An 8,988-nucleotide genomic window follows, 5' to 3' on the forward strand; every position below is an offset into this window, starting at 1 on the left:
GAGATTGCACCACTGCACTCCAGCCTGGGCAACAGAGCAAGACTCCGTCTCAAAACAAAAACAAAAAAAATAATAGTTGAAATGAAGACTCCAGCTGGGTATGGTGGCTCACGCCTGTAATCTCAGCACTTTGGGAGGCCAAGGCAGGTGGATCACTTGAGGTCAGGAGTTCAAGACCAGCCTGGCCAACATGGTGAAACCCTGTCTCGACTGAAAATACAAAAATTAGCCAGGCGTGGTGGTGGGTGCCTATAATTCCAGCTACTCGGGAGGCTGAGGCAGGAGAATTGCTTGAACCCGGGAGGCAGAGGTTGCAGTGAACTGAGATCGCGCCATCGCACTCCAGCCTGGGCGATGGGGTGACTAAGACTCCGTCTGAAAAAAATAAGGAAATGAAGACTCCTCTTTTCACTTAGAGGAGATCCAGCGAGGACTTAGCCCTAAACCAAAGGACACAGAAACCACAAATCCCCACTCCCATAGTGTCAGGGCTGGACCAGGGGACGTCATGGGCCTGGGGATGCCAGGGTGGGGTGGCAGGGATTCCGCCTGGAGTGGGACAGTAGAATCCATTCAGGGGCAGGTGCGGTGGCTCACGTCTGTAATCCCAGCACTTTGAGAGGCTGAGGCGGGTGGATCACAAGGTCAGGAGTTCAAGACCAGCCTGGCTAAGATGGTGAAACCCCATCTCTACTAAAAATAATAATACAAAAAATTAGCCAGGCGTGGGTATCCGCCTGTAGTCCCAGCTACTCGGGAGGCTGAGGCAGAAGAATTGCTTGAACCCAGGAGGTGGAGGTTGCAGTGAGCCAAGATCGCGCCACTGCATTCCAGCCTGGGTGACAGAGCGAGACTCGATCTCGGAAAAAAAAAAAAAAAAAAGAATCCATTAAGAATCCATTCAGATTAGCAGTTAGGTTGGTTCGCCCAGATGTCAGCCTCATTGAGGATAGACACCAATAAGGTATGAGTGGCTCTGGGGAGATTTAACTGAACAGTGGGCAAGGAAGGCAGCCAGGCCCTGAAGGAGAGAGAAACAGCCTTGGGCTTGTCTGTGGGTTCCACCTGGGTCTCCAGTCAAAAGTCACCTCCTCCGAGAAGCCTTCCCTGACTACCCCATCTGTGGCAGGTAGAGTAACACTCCCCAATCCCGCAAAGACATCCATGTCCCAATCTCCAGAGCTCATGAGTATTTTGCCTGATGCAGCCAAAGGAACTTTATAGGAGTGATTACATTAATAATCTCAAAGGTCTTTAAAGATGAAAGATCTTTCATCAAATTAATGAAAATGGGCCGGGCGCAGTGGCTCACGCCTGTAATCCCAACACTTTGTGAGGCCAAGGCAGGAGAATTGCTTGAGGCCAAGAGCTCCAGACCAACCTGGGCAACATAGTGAGACCCCCATCTCTAAAAAAATAAAATAGGCCAGGCATGGTGGCTCATGCCTGTAATTCCAGCACTTTGAGAGGCCGAGGTGGGTGGATCACGAGGTGGGGAGTTCGAGACCAGCCTGACCAATATGGTGAAACCCTGTCTCCACTAAAAAATGCAAAAGTTAGCCAGGCGTTGTGGCACACACCTGTAGCTCCAGCTACTCGGGAGGCTGAGGCAGAAGAATCACTTGAACCCGGGAGGCGGAGGTTGCAGTGAGCCGAGATCGTACCACTGCACTTCAGCCTGGGCAACAGAGCGAGACTGTCTCAAAAAAAAAAATAGTAATAAAATAAAATAAAATAAAAATAAAATAATAAAATAAGTTAGCCAGGTGTGATGTCGCGTGCCCATAGTCCCAGCTAATCAGGAGACTGAGGTGGGAGGATCTCTTGAGCCCAGGAGATCAAGGCTGCAGTGAGCTATGATCTCACCACTGTACTCCAGCCTGGGCAACAGAGCAAGACCCTGTCTCAAAAAAAAAAAAATTAGCCGGGCTCAGTGGCTCACGCCTGTAATCCCAGTACTTTGGGAGGCCCAGGTGGGCAGATCACAAGGTCAGGAGTTCGAGACCAGCCTGGCCAATATGGTGAAACCCTGTCTCTACTAAAATACAAAAAAATATTAGCCAGACATGGTGGCATATGCCTGTAGTCCTAGCTAATCGGGAGGCTGAGGCAGGGGAATCGCTTGAACCTGGGAGGGGGAGGTTGCAGTGAGCCGAGATCGTACCACTGCACCCCAGCCTGGCAACAGAGCGAGACTCCGTCTCAAAAAAAAAAAAAATTAAAAATTAGCTGGGCTTGGTGGCTCACAGCTATAGTTCCAGCTACTTGGGAGGCCAAAGTGGCAGAATCTCTTGAGTCCAGGAGGAAGAGGCTACAGTGAGCTGTGATCACATCTCTGCACTCCAGCCTGGGTAACAGAGAAAGACTCCATTTCAAAAAAAAAAAAAAAAAAAAAGCCAGGCACGGTGGCTCACGCCTGTAATCCAGCACTTTGGGAGGCTGAGGCGGGCAGATCACGAGGTCAGGAGATCAAGACCATCCTGGTGAACACGGTGAAACCCTGTCTCTACTAAAAATACAATTAAAAAAATTAGCTGGGCATGGAGGCAGGCGCCTGTAGTGCCCGCTACTTGGGAGGCTGAGGCAGGAGAATGGCGTGAACCTGGGAGGCGGAGCTTGCAGTGAGCCTTAGATCGTGCCACTGCACTCCAGCCTGGGAGACAGTGAGACTCCTTCTCAAAAAAAAAAAAAGAAAAAACAAGTATTTCTAAAAAATTTAATAGATGCCAGGCACAGTGGCTTACGCTTGTAATCCCAGCACTTTGTGAGGCTGAGGCGGCTGAATTGCTTGAGCTCAGGAGTTTGAGACCAGCCTGGGCAACATAGTGAGACCCCATCTCTACAAAAAATACAAAAGTTAGGCAGGCATGGTGGTACATGCCTGTGGTCCCAGCTACTCTGGAGGCTGAGGCAGGAGGATTGCCTGAGCCCAGGAGGTTGAGGCTTCAATAAGCTATGATTGTGCCACTGCACTCCAGCCTGGGTGAGACAGTGAGACCCCGTCTCAAAAAAAAAAGATTAATAGGGATGGGGTCTCACCATGTTCCTCAGACTAGATTCCAACTCCTAGTCTCAAGCAATCCTCTCACCTTGGCCTCCCAAAGTACTGGAATTACAGGGCTGATGAGCCACCATGCTCAGTCCATTTTTTATTTCTGACCTGTAAAACTATAATAAATGTGTGTCGGGCAGAGGCAGTGGCTCATGTCTATAATCCCAACATTTTGGGAGGCTAAGGTGGGAGGATCACTTGACCCCAGGAGTACTAGACCAGCCATGGCAACATATCAAGACCCTGTCTCTCAAAAAAAAATTTAAAATTTAGCTGGGCATGGTGGCATGCACTTTTAGTCCCAGCCACTTGGGAGGCTGAGGTGGGAGGATCTCTGAGTCTGGGAGCTTGAGGCTGCAGTGACTATGATCATAGAACCGCACTCCACCCTAGGTGAAAAAGCAAGACGTGTCTCAGAAAAAAATATAAATAAATAAAACAAATGCATGTTGTTTTCAGACACTGAGTTGGTGGTCAATTGTTACAACAGCCATAGGCCCCTCAAGCATCACCTACAATTGACCCTTTCCATCACTATCCATGGTCAAAAGATAAAGCTGCAACCTTGGCCAGGTGCAGAGGCTCATGCCTGTAATCCCAGCACTTTGAGAAGCTGAGGCAGGTGAATCACTTGAGCTCAGGAGTTCCAGACCAGCCTGGCCAACATGGTGAAACCCCGTCTCTACTAAAAATACAAAAATTAGCTGGGCGTGGCACACGCCTGTGGCCCCAGTGACTTGGGAGGCTGAGGCAGGAGAGTCACTTGAACTCGGGAGGTGGAGGCTGTGGTGAGCTGAGATCGCGTCACTGCACTCTAGCCTGAGCAACACAGTAAGACTGCATCTCAAAACAAAACAAAACAAAAATGCTGCAACCTATATAGTTCAGAGATCTGAATTGGGTTTTCTTTGCAATTCTGGAATCAGGCAACACCTCATTTCATCAAATCGAATTAGCTACTAAAACACCAGGTGTTTGGTCTAGGTCTTGCTGCCCTCTGCGCAGAAAGCCAATCACCGAGGCAACAAGGATTGCCAGGGAGGAATGCTTTATCCTGCCGCTGCAGTCAATGAGAAGGGGTGGTAAAGTCTCATATGTCTCCCTGACCAACTAAAATTGGGGAGTTTATATAGCTGGGGAATGGGAGAAAACAAATTCAGGGAGGGTGTTAAGGAAGTAATCTTGATGGATGATGGGGTCTGGCCTCTCATTGTCTGGATGTGATGATCTGATGAGTTTCAGTTCCTTGCCTGATGGTCAGTTTCCTGAGGAAGGAACTGAGATGAGACAAATGTAAGTTTCAAGTTTTAAGACTAGGGAGGATCCATTTCTGTGTTTATTCAAATAATCATAAGTATTCGTTTTATGGAACAATTGGACCAGTTTCAGAATGTTTCCATGAGCTGAGCAGACAACATTAGGGGTTCTTTTTCTTTCTTTTTTAAAGTCTGTTAAACCTTCCATTTTTTTTTTTTCCCGAGACAGAGTCTCTCTCTGTCACCCAGGCTGGGGGGCAGTGGCGTGGTCTTGGCTGACTGTAACCTCCGCCTCCTGGATTCAAATGATTCTCTTGCCTCTGCCTCCCAAGTAGCTGGGACTACAGGTGCCCATCATCACACCCGGCTAATTTTTGTATTTTTAGTAGAGATGGGGTTTCCCCATGTTGGCCAGGCTGGTCTTGAACTCCTGACCTCATGATCAACCCGCCTCAGCCTCCCAAAGTGCTGGGATTACAGGAATGAGGCACCATGCCCGGCCAAACCTTCCACTTTTGCAAAGCAGGTTTTATTTATTTATTTTGAGACGGAGTTTCACTCTTGTTGCCCAGGCTGGAGTGCAGTGGTGATCTCAGCTCACTGAAAAAGAGGTTGGTTTTATAGACAGAAAAAGGCTGAGTAAAGCAGAAATAGAAAACAAAAAGTGGATTGGTCTTTTCAAAGTTACTTTTCTTGTCAAGTTTAGAGCAAAGGAGACTATCGTGCTGGCTAAAACAGGCCTGTTCAGGGATTTTTTTTTTTTTTTTTTTTTGAGACAGTCTCGCTCTGTCACCCAGGCTGGAGTGTAGTGGCACAATCTTGGCTCACTGCAGCCTCCACCTCCCGGGTTCAAGCGATTCTCCTGCCTCAGCCTCCCAAGTAGCTGGGACTACAGGCGTGTGCCACCCTGCCCAGCTAATCTTTGTATTTTTAGTAGAGACAGGGTTTCACCATGTTGGCCAGGATGGTCTCAATCTCCTGACCTCGTTATCCACCCGCCTCCCAAAGTGCAGGGATTACAGGCATGAGCCACAGTGCCTGGCCTTTTTTTTTTTTTTTTTGAGACAGAATCTGGTTCTGTTGCCTAGGCTGGAGTGCAGTGGCATGATCTGGGCTCACTGCAATCTCCGCCTCCCAGGTTCAAGCAATTCTCGTGAGTCAGCCTCCCAAGTAGCTGGGATTACAGGCACCCACCACCGCACCCCGCTAATTTTTTGTATTTTAGTGGAAACGGGGTTTCGCCATGTTGGCCAGGCTGGTCTTGAACTCCCGAGCTCAGGTGATCTGCCTGCCTCTGTTCATGGATTTGACTATTCCCTCTCTTTCTCTCTCTCCCTCTCTCTCTCTCTCTCCCCACTTCCTTCCAGTTCTCGATTTCTTGGAAAACCAGAAAAACAACTTAGTTTCAGCTTGGTGTAAAACTTCCGCATGAGGGACTTCATTTTGGTTTAGTCTTTTGGGCCTAGTGCAGGAGCTCAGTCCAAACCCATGGCTTCCTGTAAACTTTATTTAACACCATTCCTTGTCCCATATTATTGTCTTCCTGGTGCCAGGAAAAGGGGTCCCTAGCTGGGTGTGGTGGCTCACACCTGTAATCCCAGCACTTTGGGAGGCTGAGGTGGGTGGATCACCTCTTGAACACCTCAGGAGTTCAAGACCAGCCTGACCAACATGGAGAAACCCCGTCTCTACTAAAAATACAAAATTAGCCGGACGTGGTGGCACATGCTTTTAATCCCAGCTACTTGGGAGGCTGAGGTAGGAGAATAGCTTGAACCTGGGAGACGGAGGTTGCGGTGAGCCGAGATTGTACCATTGCACTCCAGCCCGGGCAACAAGAGCAAAACTCCTCAAAAAAAAAAAAAAAAAAAAAAAAAAAGGAAGGCTACTCAGTTACAAAGTAGGGCGTCCTCAGAAAACAAGAGGAGGAACGCCTTGTCTTTGTTTTAAGGTTTTTATTTTTATTTTATTTATTGATTTATTTTTGAGATGGAGTCTTGCTCTGTCACCCAGGTACAATGGCACGATCTTGGCACGATCTTGGCTCACTGCAACCTCCACCTGCCAGGTTCAAGCGATTCTCCTGCTTCAGTCTCCTGAGTAGTTGGGATTCAGGCATGTACCACTGCGCCCAGCTAATTTTTATATTTTTAGTAGAGACGAGGTTTTACCGTGTTGGCCAGGCTGGCCTTGAACTCCTGAGCTCAAGTGATCCTCCCACCTCGGCCTCCCAAAGTGTTGGGATTACAGGTGTGAGCCACCATGTACAACCGGTTTTTTCTTATATAGGGGTCTTATCTGTGTGAAAGCTATGTCCACGTGTAGGTGGGCTGACCGCGTGACAAAACGTAGTACTTTGTCGACTTAAAGAAAGTTATCCTGGCTGGGTGCAGTGGCTCACACCTGTAATTGTAACACTTTGGTAGGCCGAGGCCGGCAGATCACTTCAGCCCAGGATTTCCAGACCAGCTTGGGCAACATGGCGAAACCCTGTCTCTACAAAAACTGCCAAATATTAGCCAGGTGTGGTGGTACCTATAGTTCCAGCTAACTCGGAAGGCTGAGGTGGGGGATCGCCTGAGCCGGGAAGTGGAGGCCACAGAGAGCCATGATTGCGTTACTGCACTCCAGCCTAGGTGACAGAGCGAGACCCTGTCTCAAAAAGTATACATACATATCCTTGCCATTTTAGTGCCTAAGTACATTACACCATGACTATAACCATATTTTCTTTTTTTTTTTTTGAGATGGAGTTTCACTCTTGTCACCCAGGCTGGAGTGCAATGGCGCCATATCGACTCACCGCAACCTCTGCCTCCCAGGTTCAAGTGATTCTCCTGCCTCAGCCTCCCAAGCAGCTGGGATTACAGGCATGCACCACCATGCCCGGCTAATTTTGTATTTTTAGTAGAGACAAGATTTCTTCATGTTGGTCTGGTTGGTCTTGAACTCTCGACCTGCACCACCGCACCTGGCTAATTTTGCATTTTTAGTAGAGACGGGGTTTCTCCGTGTTGGTCTGATTGGTCTTGAACTCCTGACCTCAGGTGATTCGCCCACGTCGGCCTCCCAAAGTGCTGGGATTACAGGCGTAAGCCACCATGCCCGGTATCTTTTTCTTTTTTTTCTCTTTTTTTTTTTTTTTGAGATGGAGTCTCACTCTGTCGCCCAGGCCACAGGGCAGCGGCACAATCTCGATCTCAGTTCACTGCAACCTCAGCCTCCTGGGTTCATGCAATTCTCCTGCCTCAGCCTCCCAAGTAGCTGGGATTACAGGTTCCCGCCACCACGCCCGGCTAATTTTTGTATTTTTAGTAGAGATGGGGTTCCACCATGGTGGCCATGGTGACCAGGCTGGTCTCGAACTCCTGACCTCAGGTGATCCACCCTCCTTGGCCTCCCAAAGTGCTGGGATTACAGGCATGAGCCACCGCGCCTGGCGACTATAACGATCTTAAAAGCATACATTGCTATGCAATATCAGGACATCTGGACCTTCCATTGTTGTAGTAGTGTGTCCTCCTAGGCATTTGTAAGACGTTTTCTCAATTGTAAACATCTTATGACCCTGGCTCGTGACTGGCAGCGAATGTGCCTTGTTAATTTTAAGATGGAGTTGATTTTTGGCCAGGTGCAGTGGCTCATGCCTGTAATCCCAGCACTTTGGGAGGCAGAGGCGAGCAGATCACCTGAGGTCAGGAGTTCGAGACCTGCCTGGCCAAAATGGTGAAACCCCATCTCTACTAAAACTACAAAAATTAGGCAGGTGTGGTGGTGCGTGCCTGTAATCCCAGCTACTCGGGAGGTTGAGACAGGAGAATCACTTGAATCCTGAGGTGGAGGTTGCAGTGAGCCAAGATCGCACCACTGGAGGCAGAGGTTGCAGTGAGCCAAGATCGCACCACTGCCCGTCAGCCTGGGCAACAGAGCAAGACTCCTCAAAAGATAAATAAATAAACAAACAATTGCCACAGCAACATCAAGAAGTTACCCTATATGGTCTAAAAAAGGGAGGTATGAATAATCCACCCCTTGTTTAGCATATCATCAATAAATCACCATAAACATGGGCAACCACCAGCCCTTGGGGCTGCTTTGTCTGTGAAGTAGCCATTCTTTTATTCATCTACTTTCTAAATAAACTTGTTTTTGCTTTGCACTGTGGACTCGCCCTGAATTCCTTCTTGCACGAGATCCAAGAACCCTCTCCTGGGGTCTGGATCCGGACCCCTTTCCTGGAACAATCTGACACAGAGGAAACGTCCATGAAAGGTGGGGAGGAGGCTGGGGAAGGAGGCTGGGGAAGGAATGGGATGGGAAGTCCTCGTTAAGGGGAAGGCACAGGTGGGCAATGGAGGGACATTTGGGAGACACTGCGTATGTTTAGGAAGTTGGTTTGGAGCCTGATCTTTAAGTCAATGTCTGTGACTCAAGAGTCGTCCAGGGTCCTCTTAAGTCACCCTATGTGTGGCCCCAACCCCATGTGAGAGTTGCGGGCCCAGGAACGATGTGTGGATTCCCAGAGCCCAGAATACAAGGCAGGCGCATAATACATATTTGCTGAATAAAAGAATGAAGAACAAGAGGTCACGTTACAAAATTTTAACGAGCCGCTGCCCGCTTCTAGGGGGCGCAGCGCACTATACAAAATTCTCCAATTCCACATGGCTCCCGGAATCC

The 8,988-nt window shown here is 48.7% G+C and overlaps 5 annotated features.

The window, feature by feature from the left end:
- Positions 4,165-4,365: a silencer, noted in NCBI's record as "peak3276 fragment used in MPRA reporter construct". NCBI's record gives its function as "represses an SCP1 promoter by STARR-seq MPRAs in K562 erythroleukemia cells {active_cell/tissue: K562}" and the evidence as "EXISTENCE:reporter gene assay evidence [ECO:0000049][PMID:32103011]".
- Positions 4,544-4,593: an enhancer, noted in NCBI's record as "active region_13763". NCBI's record gives its function as "activates an Ori minimal core promoter by ATAC-STARR-seq in GM12878 lymphoblastoid cells {active_cell/tissue: GM12878}" and the evidence as "EXISTENCE:reporter gene assay evidence [ECO:0000049][PMID:35858748]".
- Positions 4,744-4,843: an enhancer, noted in NCBI's record as "active region_13764". NCBI's record gives its function as "activates an Ori minimal core promoter by ATAC-STARR-seq in GM12878 lymphoblastoid cells {active_cell/tissue: GM12878}" and the evidence as "EXISTENCE:reporter gene assay evidence [ECO:0000049][PMID:35858748]".
- Positions 8,207-8,978: an enhancer, noted in NCBI's record as "H3K27ac hESC enhancer chr19:4246137-4246908 (GRCh37/hg19 assembly coordinates)". NCBI's record gives its function as "activates a minimal SCP1, AML or CMV promoter by ChIP-STARR-seq in naive H9 embryonic stem cells {active_cell/tissue: H9 hESC(naive)}" and the evidence as "EXISTENCE:reporter gene assay evidence [ECO:0000049][PMID:30033119]".
- Positions 8,737-8,876: an enhancer, noted in NCBI's record as "active region_13765". NCBI's record gives its function as "activates an Ori minimal core promoter by ATAC-STARR-seq in GM12878 lymphoblastoid cells {active_cell/tissue: GM12878}" and the evidence as "EXISTENCE:reporter gene assay evidence [ECO:0000049][PMID:35858748]".

Source organism: Homo sapiens, chromosome 19 (genome assembly GCF_000001405.40).
Source record: "Homo sapiens chromosome 19, GRCh38.p14 Primary Assembly".
Taxonomy (NCBI): Eukaryota; Metazoa; Chordata; class Mammalia; order Primates; family Hominidae; genus Homo; species Homo sapiens.